This window comes from Homo sapiens, chromosome 7, assembly GCF_000001405.40.
Source record: "Homo sapiens chromosome 7, GRCh38.p14 Primary Assembly".
Lineage (NCBI taxonomy): Eukaryota > Metazoa > Chordata > Mammalia > Primates > Hominidae > Homo > Homo sapiens.
The window spans coordinates 30,462,693-30,481,632 of record NC_000007.14 but is presented as its reverse complement, the minus strand read 5'-3'; the positions used below and the strand labels follow the sequence as shown (position 1 = coordinate 30,481,632).

General features: G+C 46.4%; 1 protein-coding gene across 33 annotated transcripts in view, besides 2 other annotated features; it reads left to right on the top strand.

The window, feature by feature from the left end:
* Positions 2,609-3,353: an enhancer, noted in NCBI's record as "H3K27ac hESC enhancer chr7:30517896-30518640 (GRCh37/hg19 assembly coordinates)". NCBI's record gives its function as "activates a minimal SCP1, AML or CMV promoter by ChIP-STARR-seq in primed H9 embryonic stem cells {active_cell/tissue: H9 hESC(primed)}" and the evidence as "EXISTENCE:reporter gene assay evidence [ECO:0000049][PMID:30033119]".
* Positions 2,721-2,960: a silencer, noted in NCBI's record as "silent region_18067". NCBI's record gives its function as "represses an Ori minimal core promoter by ATAC-STARR-seq in GM12878 lymphoblastoid cells {active_cell/tissue: GM12878}" and the evidence as "EXISTENCE:reporter gene assay evidence [ECO:0000049][PMID:35858748]".
* Positions 2,849-18,940, top strand: part of NOD1 (nucleotide binding oligomerization domain containing 1) — a 54,258-nt gene continuing 38,166 nt past the window's right edge. For 13 of the 33 annotated variants that reach the window (XR_007059981.1, XR_926910.2, XR_001744530.2 and 10 more), the window contains exons 1-2: positions 2,849-3,027; positions 17,935-18,024. The gene's annotated coding sequence lies outside the window, so the exon portion shown is untranslated. Of the gene's footprint in view, positions 3,028-5,644; positions 5,786-17,934; positions 18,098-18,940 lie in introns of all 33 variants that reach the window. The other 20 variants (NR_149002.2, XM_047419760.1, XM_005249572.1 and 17 more) reach the window with 5 other exon arrangements.

Genomic DNA, 18,940 nt, shown 5'->3' with positions numbered 1-18,940 from the left:
TCTAGCAGTGGCTGCTGGGCGAGTTGGACAGTCTGATTTCCAGTGGGGTCCTGCACAGATGGGACATGGCTTGGGAGGAATCCCGGGCTGCACACATTCCTTGGCCCAGTGGCCAGATTTCTGGCACTTGAAGCAAGATCCTGATGGAGGAGGTCCTGTAGGAATGCTTGACCACTGCGGCTTAGGCATTCTGATGTTCTTGTGTGCTGGAGGTGCGGCTGGGTTTTGTCTTACAGCAGAGGCAAGTAATTGTAACTCAGAAATGCATTGCTGTCTGGCTGCCTCCTTTCTATTATTGTACACCTTGAAGGTGAGGTTGATTAATTCCTTTTGTGGGGTTTGAGGGCCGAATTCTAATTTTTGGAGCTTTATGTAACGTCGGGAGTGGATTGGGTACTAAAATGCATACTAAGACAGCCTTCTGACCTTTCAGAGTCTAGGGCTGTAAAGTGTCTAAGGGTTGTTGCCAAAAGAGCCATGGACTGGGCTATGTTTTCATATTTGATGAAAAAAAGCCTAAATGCTAATTGATTTGGGAGAGGTTGGATAAAGAAAAAGGAGCATTAACCTTGAGGAAATTGTTGGGTAGGTAGGGGAGGGCTAGTTGCGGAACGAAACTGTAAGCTGGACCGGGTGTGAGGAGGTGAGGTGATAGAAGGATTATAGGGTGGGGGAGTGGAGGCAGAGGAAGAATTGGGACCTGGCTCAGCCTGGCGAGGAGCAGCCTGGGGAGGAGGGGAGAGGTTAGATGGGTCCATAGAAAAGGAGGATTCACAGGACTCAGAGCTTGGGGTGGAGACTGAAGGAACAGACAGGAGAGAAAGAAGATTTGGGATGAGTCACATTGGGAGCAGAGATTAGGAAGGGACCAATGTGTAAAAGAATGCCTGGACATCAGGCACCTCAGACTATTTGCCCATTTTACGACAATAATTATCTAGCTCATGTAGGATGGAGAAATTGAAAGTGCCGTTTTCTGGCTATTTGGAACCATTGTTGAGTCTGTATTGGGGTCAAACGGTATTGCAGAAGAAAATAAGGCGTTTAGGTTTTAGGTCAGGTGTGAGTTGAAGAGGTTTTAAGTTCTTGAGAACACAGGCTAAGGGAGAAGAAGGGGGAATGGAGGGTGGAAGGTTGCCCATAGTGAAGGAGGCAAGCCCAGAGAAAAGAAGGTAGAGACCCGGAGAAGGGGGGTGGTGAGCAGCCCTGGGCTGCAATGTGGCTGAGCAGCCAAAGCAGGCGACCCACAATTGACTTGCCACCAAGGGAATGTGGGTGAATGACCAAGGCAGGCATCCCCACGGTGATCAGACACCAATGAAATGTACGTGAATAATCAGGCAGGTGTCCCTGCAGTGATTAAACACCAAGGGACGACTGTTTTCCTGAGTCCGTGACCGGAGCTGGAGTTTTGGGTCCATGGATAAAATATGTCTCCTTTGTCTCTACTAGAGAGGAGAAAGAACTGGAATTGGAAATAGAGGGAGATTTAAGGGTAGTGAGAGAGGCTGGAGAAGACAGTGAAAAGACCGCTTACCCGATTTGAAATTGGTGAGATGTTCCTTGGGCTGTTTGGTCTGAGGACCCGAGGTCATAGGTGGATCTCCTCACAGAGTGAGGGTGAGGACAGGGGACTGGTCTCCTGAAGGAGTCCTCCTGTCCCGGGTCTTCGGCACCAAATGTCACACGTGTCCGTGTGAAGAGACCACCAAAAGGCTTTGCGTGAGCAATAAAGCTGTTTATTTCACCTGGGTGCAGGTGGGCCGAGTACGAAAAAAAGAGTCAGCAAAGGGAGTTAGGGGTGTGGTAGCTTTATAGGATTTGTGTGGGTAGTGGAAAATTACAGTCAAAGGGGGTTGTTCTCTGGTGGGCAAGGCGGGGGCCGGGGGGGTGGAAGGTCTACAAAGTGCTCAGTGGGGGAGCTTCTGAGCCAGGAGAAGGAATTTCACAAGGTAATGTCATCAGTTAAGGCAGGAACCAGCCATTTTCACTACCTTTGTGATTCCTCAGTTGCTTCAGGCCATCTGGATGTATACATGCAGGCTTGGGCTCAGAGGCCTGACACAAGTTGGCACATTTGATCCTATCAACTTTAGTTTGCACTTTCACTTTTGATTTAAGAACATACTTTCTGTTTCTCAGAGGGCAGCCTCTGATGGGAATTTTAATACTCACAAGCATCAGTGGCTATATGATTGAATGTACTTCTTCAGTGTGAGTAAGTGACAACTTTCTGTAGCATGATATCCCTTATGGACACGATCCCCATTCAAAACGTTTTAAAACTATTTTATTGGGGACATTTATTAGCATGTTAAAACTCTTTTACAACCTATTAGAGCATATGCATAGAACATAAAATGTACACTGCCAAGAACAAATTTAAGGATAGGAAGAAAAGCTTACATTTTTTAAAAAGTATAAATTGAAATGTATGCAGTGTAATTTAAATTTGATTACGTTAACCTCCATTTCATCAGGACCACGTGTCGCGTTTTAACAAGAGTTTCCCTATCATGTCCAGGCTTTGGCTCTGGTTGCAGGCGCTGGGTAGGCACTTTTACGAGGAGGGACCTGGCACGATGGCACCACAAATTCCCAAGTGTGTCACCTCTGGGCGAACTTGGGCCTGTCCACTCGGCCCTGCGCGGTGGCCAGGGGCTCACCCTCTCGCACCGGGCGTCCCTCTGCGCGCAGCTTCTCTCGCCCCCCCGCGCCAGACCCGGGCGAATGGCAGCACCGTGGGACCCTGCCTTGACCGCCCCCGCCCTTCGGCGGCCTCTCCCAGCAGCCGGCAGGCTCTTGGGCGCGCCAACAGAGGGGCGCGGCTGCGGCTGTAGTCGCAGCCAGTTCCCGTTCCGGGCCCGCGAGGCAGCCGCCCCGGTCCTGCCCCTCCCTCGCGCTACTGCGGGAGCAGCGTCCTCCCGGGCCACGGCGCTTCCCGGCCCCGGCGTCCCCGGACCATGGCGCTCTCCGGGCTCTTCTCTAGCTCTCAGCGGCTGCGAAGTCTGTAAACCTGGTGGCCAAGTAAGTCCCAGCGACTGGGGATTCGCGCGGGGCAGGCCCTTTCTGAGGTCCTGGGCGCTGCGAGTGAGGAGGCGCAGGGAGGCGGGATTTGCGTGCGGGCGGAACGCAGCGCGGCTCTGGAGGAGCTCTGGGTGGAACCAAGCGGAGAAACCCGCGAGTTTGAAGCATGTAGCGAAAGTTGAGAGGGATGAACTTCACAGTCAGCGGAATCGTTTATCCCACTGTGGTCGAACGCAGGGGTTCTCAATCGTGCCAGCAGCTTAGAACCACCTGGGGAGCTTTTAAAATCCAGATATCCAGGCTGCACCCTAGATCAATTCCATCAGAATCTCACGGAGTCAGACCCAGGCCTCCGTATCTTTTAAAAGCTCCCCAAGTGATTCCAGTGTGCAGCCAGCGTTCGAGGGTTTGTGGCAAAGGCTGGAAGGGCAGACAGGGGCCTTCATGGAGTCCCGCCTGCAGACGGGACAGCAGCTCCCAGTGTCCTGCTTGGTCCTGGAGAGAGGGTGAGAACTTCCCTTGGGTTTCATGCTCCACAAAGTAAGGAAATGAGACAATGCTTGGCAAGGTCGCCTGAATATCACATTCAAAAACGCCTCCAATGTGTGCAGTTGTTTTGGCACATTGTGAAAAACATAGGAAATGACAGAGGTTGATGTCTCATTAGCTCTGCATTCTAGGAAACATTTCGGTTGTTGGTGTTTGAAATTAAGTCTGGGGAAGCTAAGCTAGTAAACCCATGGCCTTGATGACTTCTGGCCTTTCTGCTTTAAGGGTGAAGCCAGGGCCGGGCGCGGTGGCTCACGCCTGTAATCCCAGCACTTTGGGAGGCCAAGGCAGGCGGATCACCTGAGGTCGAGAGTTCGAGACCAGCCTGGCCCAACATGGTGAAACCGTCTCTACTAAAAAAAAAAAAAAAAAAAATTAACCGGGCGTGGTGGCGCATGCCTGTAATCCCAGCTACTCGGGAGGCTGAAGCAGGAGAATTGCTTGAACCCGGGAGGCAGAGGTTGCAGTGAGCCGAGATCGCCCTGTTGCGCTCCAGCCTGGGCAACAAGAGCAAAACTCCGTCAAAAACAAACAAACAAACAAAAAACAAAAAAACGGTGAAGCCAGAAGTCGTGCTTGCCAAAGGGTCGAGTTTGTTCTCCCTCAAAGCCCCTGTTGAAGATTGAACTATCACTTTCAGGGAAGAGTAAAAGAGTAACTCCACGATGCATCTTAGAGAGGAGTGGATTCCCTGTTCTCACCCAGGCTTAGATGCCAGGGGCCAGGTAGCTGAAATCCAGGCAAACCAGGCATTGACAAAGTACAGACTTCTACCGAATATGCCAGACAGATAAGCAAGCTGTGTTTAAAACAAACAGCAGAGTGGTAGAAGAGGGCTCTTTCAAATATTGTAAGAAGAGTAGGTTTTATTTTTGTGGAGTGGAGAAATAAGTTCACGCTTTGGAACCCATCAAATCTGGGTCAAAACTCGGATTCTGTCACTTCTATGCTGTGACTTTGGGCAAGTTCCTTGACCTCTCCAAGCCCCTGTTTTCCCACCTGTAAAATAAAGAGCAACCCTCTCCTGAGGCTAGCATAGTTCAGCGAGATGATGTGCATCACACACCTGGAAGGTGGTGGCGCTGGCAGGTGCTCTGGCAGAGGTAGTTATTAGACACTGGAGTGGCAGTTTGTGCCCGTTAATTGTTTACTTAGTACAGCCACTATGAGGGAGAATGTCTATAAAATGTTCCCTTCAACGCTCCATTCCTTCTCCTGCCCTGCTGCCCCGCTCAGGGCCTTAGCGGGCTTTAAGTCTGAAATCTTAGGCTGCAAATCCCCTCAGTCCCCCAGGGCGTATTAATGGCTCTGGAATACAGTTTTACTGCATGTGATAGGAATGAATATTTTGACACACACACACTCAAAAGCTGTTCTTAATCTTGAGACTTCCTCCTCTCTGTTGCCACATATATATCTTTTAAATGGCTTTCCAAGAAAGCTGGGCTGTGCACAGTGTCTCAGAATTAGTGTATGTGCACACACACGCACGTTGCTCCCTGCTGACAACATCCTCAGACCATACCCTTGGTGTTCCTGTTTTGCTCCTGACTCTTGGCCTAGGGACAGTGAATCTTTCTTGAATGACCAAGGACAGTCAGGGATCTGAGGAAGGGAGAACCCAAATTCTACAATTGCTGATGCCTGCGTCCCAGCTGGAACTTTACCCTGGTACGTGCTCTGTGCATCATGGATGGTCACTTTGATCCTAACAGCAGTGCTGTTTAGATTAGACATCAGAAATAGAAACAGTAAGTAATATAGGCATAAAGATCAAGTGTTTTTCTAGTGTATGTGTGATCACTGATATTTGCTTACACAAGACTATCAAAGTCTTATCTCTTATTCAAAGAAAAGGATTCAATATTTGTTCAAAATCTAAGATATGAACGTAGGATTTAAGGTTTAAGTTACTAGTTTCTTCTATCATTCTTATTATTGGGGGGATTTTTTTTAGGCAAGAAGAAATTAGAAAAGCTAAAATGTGTACTTATGCTGAATTTTTGTCATGCAGAGGCTCTAGGTATTTTGCAAGTTTTCAGAAGTCCCATTTTCTTTTATCTTCTAGGGACAGTCAGTTGCATGTCACACAAGGGGCCTCCTTTGATTTATCCAAAAGGTCTGACCTGGTTTCTGGAAAAACTCTTTAGCGCATCAAATACTCGTTGAGGGCAAGTGTTGTTTCTAAACTTGACTCTTGTGGTGAGAGGTGAGTAGTCACTGGCATGTCAGTTAGCTGACATTTTTTACCCACGCTAGAAAGTTCATTCAGGCAAGACTTCCTGGCTTGAACTCTTATTTAAACATGTGTTTTATCTGGAACTGCCACAGTCCAAACTGTGGGCAGAGATTCCTGTGCAGAGTTGGCTAAGGCAGGCATGCCACCGGCCCTTCTCTTCGCCATCCTCCCTGTCTCTGGAGCCATTGAGCCAACCGGGGATGATGCCACTCTGAAGGGATCTCACCTTGGTCCTCTAATGGGGCAGAGTTCCCTGATGAGGGATGCACGTCCTTAGAGCCAACAAGGCAATTTTGTATTATACTGCATGGAAATTAAAAGTTACTCTCCAGTAAACTGCCACTTTAGAATTTGTTTTACTGAAGCGTCCTTTTCCTCTAAATTATAGAGCACTGTAGTAAGGGCCCAGATAATTTCAAAGTGAGCACCAGATTAGTGCCAGATTTTGGCAGATTAAGATTTTAATAAAACATGAACATTCACCTTGATTACATTTGTTTCAGAAAGTTGATGTCCCTTGGCCTTCTGTTCTGTCATTGCCACCATACAGGTTAGGGTCAGAATTGGGAGAATGTAGTCATTTGGTAGATATTTTCAGAGCCACATGCAACTGGGCCTGGCAGTCACATATTGCTAAGGAAACGCCTTACATGATAGCAGAGCTGAGAGCAGATGATGATTTACTTGGGAGAGTATTCGTTTTCTAATTCCCAAAAGATTAAAAGTCTAATGAGTAAGAACTTCCCCTGCTTCTTGTAACACATGCCCAGATTGCTGCCTATGACCTCAAAACCAAACCTTCTTGGAAGGAACTGGGGGAAAGCTAGGCTTTTTTGGCAGGGGATATCCTAACTCCTTACAACACAGGCCCCTTCAGTGAGTGGGTCATTTCTGGACTCCATTTAACAAAGCTAGTGTTTCATACTTAATATGAAAACAGGCGTGTTGATGATTTCAAATAGAGATGTTGGGTCTATAAAGTATACCAGACATGCAGGGCTGAAATGGAAGAAACAATGGGTTTTGGAGTCAGAACCAGGATCCAATTCCTGTTTTATTCCTTACTTCAGGGGTCCCCAATCCCTAGGCCATGGACCAATACCAGTCGGTGGCCTCTTAGGTGGGCCGCACAGCAGAAGGTGAGCAGCAGTGAGCAAGCATTACCGCCTGAACTCTGCCTCCTGTCAGATCAGCGGTGGCATCAGATTCTCATGCGAGGGGAACCCTATGGTGAACCGCACACGCGAGGGATCTAGGCTGCACATTCCTTATGAGAATTTAATGCCTGATGATCTGAGGTAGACAGTTTCATCCTAAAACGATCTCCCCTGTGCCCCTACTCGCCGCTGTCTGTGGAAAAATTGTCTTCCATGAAACCAGTTCCTCGTGCCAAAAAGGTTGGGGATCACTGCCTTAACTAACTGTGTGACCTTCACCAACATACTTAACCACTCCAACTCTGTGTCCTCCTTTGTAAACTAGTTACAATAATGCTTTCCTTGCTGGGCAGTTTTCAGTATTTGATGAGCTAATCTATGTAAAGTGCTTAGCACATCACCCAGCTTCTAGTAAGTCATGATTATGATGATAAAGATTATGATGATTACTTTGGTTCCAGGGCTGGTCTTTCCTTCTCCTAGTTGTGTGACTTCAGATAAGGTTTTTAATCTTCTTGAGCCTTGGCTTTTGAATCTGTAAAATGGGCTAACTCTACCTATCTGGAAAGATTGCTTTGAGGCTTGATTTGATTAAATGAAATGATGACAGGCCTGATCTGGTAGACCCTAAATAAGAATAGCATTTACATAGACTTCCTGTGTCCCACACTGGTCTAAGAGTTTAGGGTTTTTGTTGTTTGTTTTTAGCTCATTTTATCTTCCCAGCGCCCCTGTGCAGTGGTTATCATTTCCCTTGTTTTATAGAGGAGACAACTGAGGCTCAACAAGATTAAATAACTAGCCCAAAGTCTATCCCAGGACTTGAAGCAGAGTCCCTGTTCTTAACCACTGCCCCAGCTGCTCAGTGAGTACCCCCACCCCTGCTTATTCTACCTACCTCCTGATGCCCATCTCCTGCCATTAACAGTCAGATGTGCTTATGCTCTGTGTAGGGCCATATTTCTGGAAACAGAGCCCCTGCTTCCAAAGAGCAGCTTACTTAGGAAGTGAAAGTGGCAGCTCACTCCTCCTGTCGCCTCCTCCCACTTCCAGATAACATTAAACCTCATCCATTGCTTAGGCTGGTTAATATCAACTGGAAAAAAAAATCTGATACCGATATTGACTAACATTATTAGAGTGGGTTGCAATGTTAGTTTTGAGATAAATGTCATCTCGATGCACTGAGATTGTTAGCCTGTGTGTAATAAAACATGCCTTCACCCAGACAGATGTGGGGGGTGTTTGGAAGACAGAAACCAGGCCTAGGAGATCCCAGGTTGAGACTCAGGTGGACAGCAACAGTATTGAAAATAATATTACATCAAAGGTGCAGTGGTCTGTTCTAAGTACACCACCTTTTCTGACATTCCTTACTCATCCTCCCTCTCCTTTACCCCAGTGGCTTTGGCCTCTTCTTGAGTTCTGGCAATCTTCCCTGAGGTCTGGGTCAGTGGAATTTGGGGGCCCAGAAAGGCAAATTCTCAGTTGAGTGAGGTGTGGCTTCTTTAGCATTCCTGATAATGAGGTAGTAATTGCTTTTCTGGCTTTCTGTGTGTGTGAAGTGCTCTGCTGGCCCCCTACCCTGGTGTGGAAGGCTGTTAGAAAGCTATTTATAGCTCTTGGTTCCTTCTGGCACTTTGGGGCTTCAATTCTGCAACATGTTAATTCAACAAATATTATCAGAAAGTCTTGCTGGTGCCAGGAGTCTACTAAGTACTTGGATTACAGCAATGAATGAAACAGACCCTGCCTCTGGCCATATGGAATTTGGAGGCTGCCGGGTGGAGAGGATGTCTTAGTCAGCTTGGGTTGCTAAAACTATCACAGACTGGGGGACTTAAGCAACAAACATTTATCTCTCACAGTTCTGCAGGCTGGAAGTGTGAGACCTGGTTGCCAGCATGGGAGTTTGGTGAGGACCCTCTTCCTGATTTGTGAAAGAGGTTTCTCATGTCTCTTGCTATAAGGGCACTAATCCCATCATTGGGGCTCCACCCCCACGACCTCATTTAAACCTATTCACCTCCCAACAGCCCTATCTGTAAACACCATCAAATCGGGGGTTCTCCCTCACCATGTGAACTTTGGAGGGACATAAACATCAGTCCATAAGTAGGAGGTTAGGGCAGTAAGCACACAGGTAAATACATAATTGTAACTTGTGGAAAGTGCTTTAAGTGAAAACAACAGCATGTCATGAGACAGGAGATCAGAGCAGAACTAGAATTAGGAGAGTCTGGGGACGCCTCTCAAGGAATGAGCCTTTTCAACTAGGACTTGGGATGAAAAAAAGAGTGAAATCATGCTGGATGCAGAGAACAGTGGGTTCAAAGACCCAGAGGTGAATGGGAAGGATGTGGGTGTGTTGAGTGGCTGGTGTGGTAAGGCCCAAGCCCAGGAGGGTACAGAGCTAAATAATGAGACACACTCAGGCCAAGTAGGGCCTCCTGGGCTGGGTAAGGATTTGGGATTTTATTCTGAAGTGCGGAGGGAAGCTTTGGAGGAATTTCCCCTCCTGACTTTTTCCTGTCATTCATAATATACAAGAAAAAGATCATTAGTCACTTCTATTTATTCAGATAATGAACAATCTCTACTTCTTAAGCTATATAAACCTTGTCTTAGTGTGTGAAACAATTCTGGAGTGTCTAGTTTTCAATCTCCAGATGAGGGAACTGAGGCTCAAAACAAAGTGAAAGAAGGCAGAGGCAGGATTTGGAACCAGGCCTGCCCAGCCCACGGCACATGCTCTGTAGTTTTCTGGGACAGATGAGTGTAAATGCATATGGGCCTCCTAGGCACCCGGCATCCTTCATCAGGAGCTTCAGTGGATGGACTAGGGTGGAGTCCAGTCCTTCCTGGCTCTTTAGAAACAGGAACAAAAGACCCCGAAGAGTGGAGGGAGGTTGGGCATGTACAGGTCAGGGGGTCAGAATCTGTAGGCACCAAATGTCAGGGCCCCCTGGCTATGGGAAGGGCTGTCAGTTTTTCACGCTAGTCTGTTCTGCTCCGCCTAGCTGTTGCCCAGAAATCCCAAAGAGGGTGCCTTCCCAGCTCTGTTCACCTTTGAAAATCTGAATTCATCATTTGTGTGCACTTGAGAGACCCAGGGTTTGGTAAAAACAAAATTCTTTATTGGGTGTTTTCAGGTCACAGGAAAAGCCTCCACTGTGTGGGACCCACATCCTTAGCACTGCATGCTGGCTGCTTCCAGGCATCTGCACTGACCCTGTTTCTCCTTCCTTGCTGTGAAGCGGTCATGAGGTTGCAGTGCCAGATGTGTTGCAGGCCAGGTGTATCTCGGCTGGTTGGGCAGGCCTTCTGCTTAACATGGGACCTCACTTAGTGAGGGAAGAGAGCAGTCCTGGCCCAAGGGGTGCAGTGTCTGGGGCAGATGCTTTAGGGGTTATGGCTCTATCATCTTCTCAACCTCTTAATGCCACTCAGGGTCACCACACATAAATCCCTGGGTACTCTCCCACTTAGCTCTGTGACAGGTTTGTGTCCTAGATGCTTGCTGACTCTGTATACATGTTCAATGGGGTTAATAAACGTCTTCAGCTAAGCATTTTGGCCAGCGATCAGCAGAGTGTTTATTTGCTGTGGGCCCGGTTTCAACTCCCACTTTGGTGGTGACTAATATATTTTGTTCTTGTGGAGTGCTTTTCACTTGATAAGCCCCAGACACTTTCTGTGTCAGTCCTAAATGCCATATCCAGATGTCCTCCAGCTTCCAGATCGGCCACTTCTGTGGCACTTTCCTCTGCATAAACACTTCAGCCCTCTCGCAGAGTGGAGTTCCAGGAAACCGGTTTCCACTTCAAGGCTCTGTTGTTTTCTGCTGGCTTTCTTCATTAAGATATTTTTATTCACTGGCCCCTCAGAGATGAATATCAAGTGCAGTGTTTTGGGAACTTTGTTTTTCAAAGCCTGGATAAAACCAAGAAAATGTCAAGCAGTAGGTGATTAAGTACCAAGTGGTCGCACAGGCAATGCTTTTGACATTGACAGCTGGGCTCTGGTTAACCTTTTAAAGACAGCAGCGAAGATAAATGCCTTAGAGCAACAGAAACTATTGGTGATGGAAAGTTGAATTTATTCACCAATAAACTTGGTAAGTGACATTCCCTAAGTGAGCCTGTGAATTATGGAAATCCACGTATCAGTGGACATGATGAAGCACCTGCTATACGCAGTGCACCCGGCCAGATTCATTCATTCGACGGTTCCTATCGAGCACCCTCTATGTGCTGGAGATACGGTGACTCACCAGATGGTCGCCCTCCCTTGTCATCAGTGCTGGCCTTGAAGATGACAGATGGAAATGCTGGCCTAGGCTGCCCTCTTGTAGGTCACGGCCGGTGCTTACTATGTGACCAGTGCTGTTCTAAATACCGTATGTACGTGTATTAACTCACTGCATGCTCACAGAGATCCCTACATGGAGTAGGTGCAGTTATTATCTGTACTTACAGAGAAGAAAACAGAAGCACAGAAGAGAGCATTATTTGTCCAAGTCACATAGCTGGTGATTGGAACCAGATAGCCTGGCTTTAGAGTCTGTGTCCTTCACTGCCACTACCAACCAATGTGAAAGGAAAATAATCAACTTAGGACACAAAGTTGCACGCCCTCTGAGAGAGGCGGGGATAGAATACCATGGGCCTTCCCAGCAGGGAGAGATGGGCTTAGGGGAGAAACAGAGTAAGGTGGGAACCCTACCCTTTTCCCATTCTGACAGGTGACATCCCCGCTGGGGGGATGGAGGAAATGTTTGGCTACTGAGGAGGCTACTCTGGCCAGAAGTAGACAAAAGAAGCAACTGTCTCGCAGCCAGGAGACTTGGATGCTAGTTTTGATTGATCCGGACAAGTCCAGGGCCCTGCCCAGGGCCTCTGTTTTCCCATCTCTAAAATAGGTGGCTTGGACAACATTCTGTTTGACCTCAGGAGCCCAGGATTTCAGCAGAGAAGGGAGGAGCTGGCTCTCTGTGCACTCTGAACAGGGTTTCCTGACCAGAAGAAGATGTTTGGCTCTGAGAGATGTGGGGGCAGGCATTGGACTTCCCAGAAGGCCTTGGCAGCTGTGAAAGGATGTATGCGTTCCACTGTGGTCCCACCCCGAATGCTGACGTTGGCTGTGTCTGCATTCCTTTCTTTGTAGGCAGGATGGCAGTGTCTGTGTGTCTGGAGCTCACACTATAAGGTACTTTGTATGAGAGACAGAGGGAGCTAGAGGGAGGGAAGAGGGAGTAGGGAGGGGAAGGAAGCCGGGAGAGAGAGAGGTGATTCCGGGAGGGACTGACTTCCATCTGCTTTCAAATTCTGAGGGATTAAGTGCTTTCAGATACTTAAAGTCAGTGAGTGTCAATGGAGTTAAAAAGCTTCCAATAATAATTGTAGCTTCATCCATCTGCTAAATTGTCTCCAGAGTCGGCTGCCTATAGTGTTCTGGCATGGCAGAGGCCCACATGACCGGGCTTGTTTTCCAGGTTAAGTTCCTTAAGAAATTGTAAACCAAGCAAGAAAAACAAACAGACAACAACAGAACACAGATTGTTGTGGATCATGCAGCAGGAAAAGTAGGACACCATTTGAGCTGACCAAGCATATGTGTTCTCCGTGCAGCTCTGTCGAAGCTGTGTAAGGTGTGCTTGGTGCTGGCTCCTGCCAGATGCTGTTGGCATGGCTTCATCCACCCAGCTTGCTGTTGGGTAACTTGCAGAGTGAAGAAGTCTGTTGTTCACGTCATCACCACAACCCTGAACATCCAAGCAGTTCATGTCAACAACTAGAGTATAATTATCTTCTTTACTTGTAAAACTGTGGAGCCTGTGGATTAAATTCACCAAAATGAATCATATTCAAGAGAAGTCATTTCCTAAAGGAGAATTCAGATGTGGTCCCCATTCATGGGTATATGTGTGCCAGTTATGTTGGGGGTTGGTGGAGCCCACTCTAATTGACATTTGCAATCTGGGTTATATCACCTCTGAGGTAGGCAGGTACCTACATGAGGTAGGCAGGGAATGATGGCTTTAACTTAGTTCATTCAATAAATGAATATCAGTTATCTATTCCTATTGTCCAGGATGGTGGTGGGCAGAATGTCTGAGAAGCCCATGTTGTGTATGGCAGGTTGTGACTTTACCAGAGATGGCATTTTCTGGTTAAACTTGGGTGATAGGATGTGTTTTTAACAGAAAGGGAAAAAGAATCTGAACTAGTTTCCTTGGTAATAATAACCATTTGGGTTGGGGAGCTGATACTGGTTAGGAAAATGTGAGGCCCCTTTGACATCATCCATTTGCTGCTGAGAAATCAAAATTAAAACATCACTCGGTGTCAGAATGTTCCAGAAGGCAGTTGAGCTGCTAATGTTTTGAAGTGTTCAGAGGTATGTGTTTTATGAAAAAAAGAGGAAATACAAGACAAAGGAAATGAAACGTTTGGCAACCATTGAGCATTTCTTCAATATGGTATTTCTTGTGGCTCTGGGATTTTAAAAATCCACTTGAAAGCCAGTATTGTTGACTTTTGCTCTGTACTATTTTTGTGGGGACTGATTATTTTTCACTTTATATTCCTTATTTCTAACTAGGCTTAATGGTAATACCCTAAGTTGATGGCCTTCTACTAAATTTAAAACAAAATATAGGCCGGGTGCGGTGGCTCACTCCTGTAATCCTAGCACTTTGGGAGGTCGAGGCAGGTGGATCACCTGAGGTCAGGAGTTCAAGACCAGCCTGGCCAACGTGGTGAAACCCCGTCTCTACTAAAAATACAAAAATTAGCCGGGTGTGGTGGCAGGTGCCTGTAATCCCAGCTACTCAGGAGGCTGAGGCAGGAGAATCACTTGAACCTATGAGGCGGAGGTTGCAGTGAGCCAAGATCACGCCATCGCACTCCAGCCTGGGTGACAAGAGTGAAACTCTGTCTCAAAACAAACAAACAAACAAAAATAACAACAACAACAAAAAAAACTGTTCCCACCCACAATCCCATCAGATTTATTGTGATACTTTCACAAAACAGGAAGAGCTTTTTATTGATTTACAGGTGCACAGAAAGTCTTAACATCTCATCTGAGTTTGTTTGGTCTTAATGAACCATCGTTTAGTTTAATGAAGACCAAGCATTTTCTCTCTAGGGCAGGTGGGCCCTTTGAGTTGAAAGTCATAGTTCCTCAAAACAAGGCAGTCGCTGAGAATGTTGTGCTGGCCTGCCTCAAGATGTCCTGAGATGCCCTAATGAGGAAAAGGCCCTAAAATATTTCAATCATGCAAGTGTATAGCCTTCTTATAAAAAAAAAAACATTACGAATAAAAGTCCTACCCTACTCCTGGTGTCCTCTCCCTTTCCAGAAGTAATTTTCATTCTCACACCGTGTGTCTTCTCACAGGTGGTTTTCTTTGCATTTACATTCACGGGCGTATGCCTATAGAGAACGTGGAGTGCTTTGTGTATTTGGAGGGCAGGGGATGTGGGCAAGCCATATAAATGTTATTATACTCTATATTTCTTTCTGCAACTTACATTTTTCAAGTGACAGGATGTCTTAAGGCTCTTTCTATGTCAGTACATGCAGCTCCACCGTGTTCTTTTTCATCACTGGTCGGCTTGGCTTTTAGGGATACCAACCCAGTAATTCTAACAGAAATGATGGATGTGGTTCTGTGGAGCCAAGTGAGGGGTGGAGTGAGGTGGCAGGACCCAACACAAGTTGGGAGAAGGTGAATGATGTAACCCAAGGACAAATAAAGAAGGTGCATGTCCTGCCTATTTTTCTTCCTAGTAAAGCAGTATCTCCCTATATAGATTACTGCTGAGTCTGAGGTAGACAGGGAATGGTGTTATATTTTATCTTAAATCTTAATTCCATAAATAGTTATAGTATCTGAAAAAGGTTGTAGTGACTTTTCTGTGCTAAGAGGGATCCTTTAATGTAGTGGGCTCAGACAACGAAGGTTTTTTGTTTTGTTTATTTTTTAAGAAACAGGGGTCTCACTTGTCACCCAGGCTGGAGTACAGTGGTGTGATCATAGCTCACTGTAGCCTCGAACTCTGAACTCCTGGGCTCAAGTGATCCTCCTGCCTCGGCCTCCTGAGTCATTAGGACAGTAGGCGTGCACCACCATGCCTGGCTATCAAACAATCAAGGTTGATTTCTTCCTCATATCTTATGTCCTTTGCGAGTTGGCAAGAGCTACTCATTGTGGTTATTTGTGGGCCTGAGCTGATGCAGCTGCCCCCATCTTGTGCTAATCATAGTGCCAGAAGCAAAAAAAAAAAAATTGCACATTGATAAATTAAGCAGTGATGGCTAAAAGCCTCCTACCCAAAGCAACACATTCTGTTTCTGCTCATGTTTCATGAGTTAAAGCCTGTAACTTCAAAGGGGTAGGGAAGTGTAATCCTACCAGGTGTCTAGGAGAAGAACCTGAACTGTTTGATGAACTGAATACTTCTACCACTGTGTTGGTTTTCAAGGAAGGGGTGGGAAAGTCTTTGAAAACTCTCCTGTGACCCATAAAGTTATATCCTAGAAGCCAATCCTTTCTGTGTTCATAAAATCACTGGCCTTTTCCTGTGGCCGCCAAGGTTGCAGAGAGCAGAGCTGTTTGGGAACTCACTTCAAGAAGTGGTCAGAGCTTGAGGAGGGAGGGTCAGGACAGGAGCAGAGGCAGATGGCATGGCACTGGGCCAGGTTCCATATGACCTGGGTGCCAGCAAAGCTGGCCTTGGTTTTGCTTATGCTTGTATTTGTTACCAACCTATATAGCAAGTATCACAGTAGAAAAACTTACAGAATGGCCTGACTACACAGAGCTCACTGTTGAAAAACGCTGGGTTGTAACTCTAAGATAGCATCTGCTACATTGCTAAAGAATGTTTTATAACAGGGCTTAGATCTGTTAGGAATCTTAGCTGCTACTGTTGCAACACCAATTTATGGAAAGCTGTGTTATTTATTTTGAAATATAAACATGAAAAAAAAAAAGAGCGAATAATGATTCCCAACAATTGGGTGCCTGAAGAAAGAGTGAAATCATGAGGCCAGTGTTGATGATGGGAAATGACTTTCTTGAGGTTTCTGTTCTCAATCTGGCCCCATCAGTTGGGATGGAGTCTAGTCTTGTCTGCTCATGCTGGGAGGAAGGCGCTCATAGTCACAATGGAGCAGGGAAACCTCTGCTGGGTGATTCTGCACAGCATGAAGCTCCTGCTAAATGGATCATGTTTGCTAGTGTTTTTTAGGCTGCAGAGAACAGGGGCACACTGAGGCTATGTTCATGGGGGTTTATTATAAAGATACACAAAATAAGGGAAGCCGTGGCTGGTGGCCTCAGCTGTGGGCAGCCAAACCCACACCTCCTGTGGGTTTTTGGGACTCAGCATCTCTCTAAATGTCTCAAATTCAAACTCCCTGAGAGAGGAGCTCTAACTGGGTCTCCCTGTCACCTGCCATTACAGAGGGCTGCAGGGGAGCAGACACGTCTGTGATCATGCTGGCTGGAGCCCAAGGAAGCCCTTGAGAGCCACGGCACCCCCCTGTCTCTCTCTGCTCATTTCTGCTTCCACACATTCACCATACTTGTGATTCCTTGTTCTGTGTCTGTCTGTCCTGCCCAGTTGTAAACTCTGTGAGGGCAGGGAGCTACTTGACCTCTGTGTGCCTCAGTTTCCTCATGTGTAAATTGGCGGTAACAATGACCCCTGGCACCTAGGGTTGTTGCAAGGATTGAGATAACAGAAATTAGTAAATGATTCGCTCATTACTGAGTGCCAGCCCTGGCCTAGGCATTTTGTGCATATTAACTCACTTAATCCTTACAGCAACATTTTGAGGTGGAACTCTTACCTTGAGGCAATCACGGCACAGAAAGGCTGGCTAACTTGCTAACAAGTGATGGTCCTTATAATCAGTGATCTTATAATAAAGTCCCATGAACAGACATAAACTGAGAGTGCCCCTGTTCCCCACAGCCTAAAATCACCAGCAAACATGGTCCATTTAGCAGGAACTTCCCTCTAATTTGCTCATGAGTCAGAATTTGAACACTGCTGTCTCTAGAGATCCCAGACACCACAGATTTCACCCTTATGTTGTCCTGCCTCTCACCATGTGTATAAAGCCTTAACATCCATGCTGATGCCCTAGTACAACACTTGGTGTTAGCTATTATCAGACTAGGCCCTGCTGGGGCCCTTGCACGTTGCAGGGCCGGACATGAGGAAGTGCTCAGTGGATCTCTGTAGAAGGAATGAACAGCTGCAACCTCATGGAGTTGTCCCACCACTCTCTGCCCCTGCCCACCCCCTTGCAGCTATCCCACGGGTCACGCTGATGGTAGAGCACTGTCATGTGCCTCGCAGCTGGCAGAGGCTGCTGGGCAAGGTGTCCAGGTTTGCTTTAGCAGTTCAGGCAGGCATGGCCGGGCCGAGGAAAGGGAGACCATTTGCCATTATCTTTGAGCCTCCCTTTGGCACGTGGAATTTCTCAGATGCAGAGCTTTAAAGCAGCAGAGTGGCAGGTGAGTTCTTACCCTTCTTTATAAGAGAAAAACCAGGGAAAGCAAAACATTCTGCTTTCTAGAAGCCAAGTCATCCAGAAGCCAGCTTCTGCAGCTCCAAAGAGGGCCTTAGCAGTTACAAAGAAACACAAGATAACGGTAAGAGAACAACAAAAACATGGTGTAATGCCAAACATGCAAAAAGTCAGTGTGGGCGCAAATGCATGCAGAGAAAAGCTGAAAGGAAGTGCTCCAAAATGAGAATAGTGGTTATTGCATGTGGATAATAGGGAACTTAATTTATTCCTCTAATTTTTTTTTTTGCATTTCCCAAGTTTTCTACAGTGAGCAGGTATTGTTTTATACTTACAGAAAAAGTTATTAAAACATAGAAAGGTACATGTGGAGAACATCTTTATAAAATGTTTTTTTTTTTTTAATCTTAGCATCTCAGTTATAAGAAATGCACATCTCCGCTCAAGGTCCCCTGGGACAGTGCAAGGAAAGAAAGAAGCCTGCGGTGAAAGTGACACTGAGTGAGTGTGTATCTGTGGTTTCTCTGGGGCCACCCCAGGATTCAGGGACAGAGTCCTGGTTGCTCTCCAGGAGGTGAGACTCCTTTCTAGGTCAATCATTTCCTGAGGGGTCCTGGTGACCTCACGAGATATTAATATAATATAGTTCGGTTAGTACCCATTTCTGTTTCCCAGCTTATGAACACTTCCTGTTGCTCATCATTTTTGTTTTTGTCTTGGGATCATTTTTTTTCTACCTGAAAAACTCTATTTAGTGTTCATTTTAGTGCAGATACGGTAGCAACAAAGTCTCAGTTTTTGTCTGGAAAAACTTTATTTTGCCTTTCCTTAAAAGAAAATCAATTTCATGGAAGTGTAATTTCATACAATAACATTCACAGATTTCAAGCATATGGGTTGCTGACTTTTGACAAGTCGTATGTATCTATATGTATATTCATATATATACATACACACACATATGTGACTGTATACAAGGGAGAGAGCAAGCATGCAATCAAGACACAGAACATTTCTATCTCCCCAGAAATTTTCCTTATTCCTCTTTGCAGTCAATTTCTCCCCCACTCCCATCTGCCCCCTGCCTCAGGAAACCATTGATCTGATTTCTAGATCAGATTTTCAGAATCATATGCATGAAATCTTTTTTTTTTTTTTTTTGAGATGGAGTCTCACTCTGTCACCCAGGCTGGAGTGCAATGGTACGATCTTGGCTCGCTGCAACCTCCGCCTCCCGGATTCAACCAATTCTCCTGCCTCAGCCTCCCTAGTAGCTGGGATTACAGGTGTGCACCACGATGCCCTGCTAATTTTTGTATTTTTCGTGGAGACAGGGTTTCACAATGTTGGCCAGGCTGGTCTCGAACTCCTGGCCTCAAGTGATCCACCTGCCTTGGCCTCCCAAAGTGCTAGGATT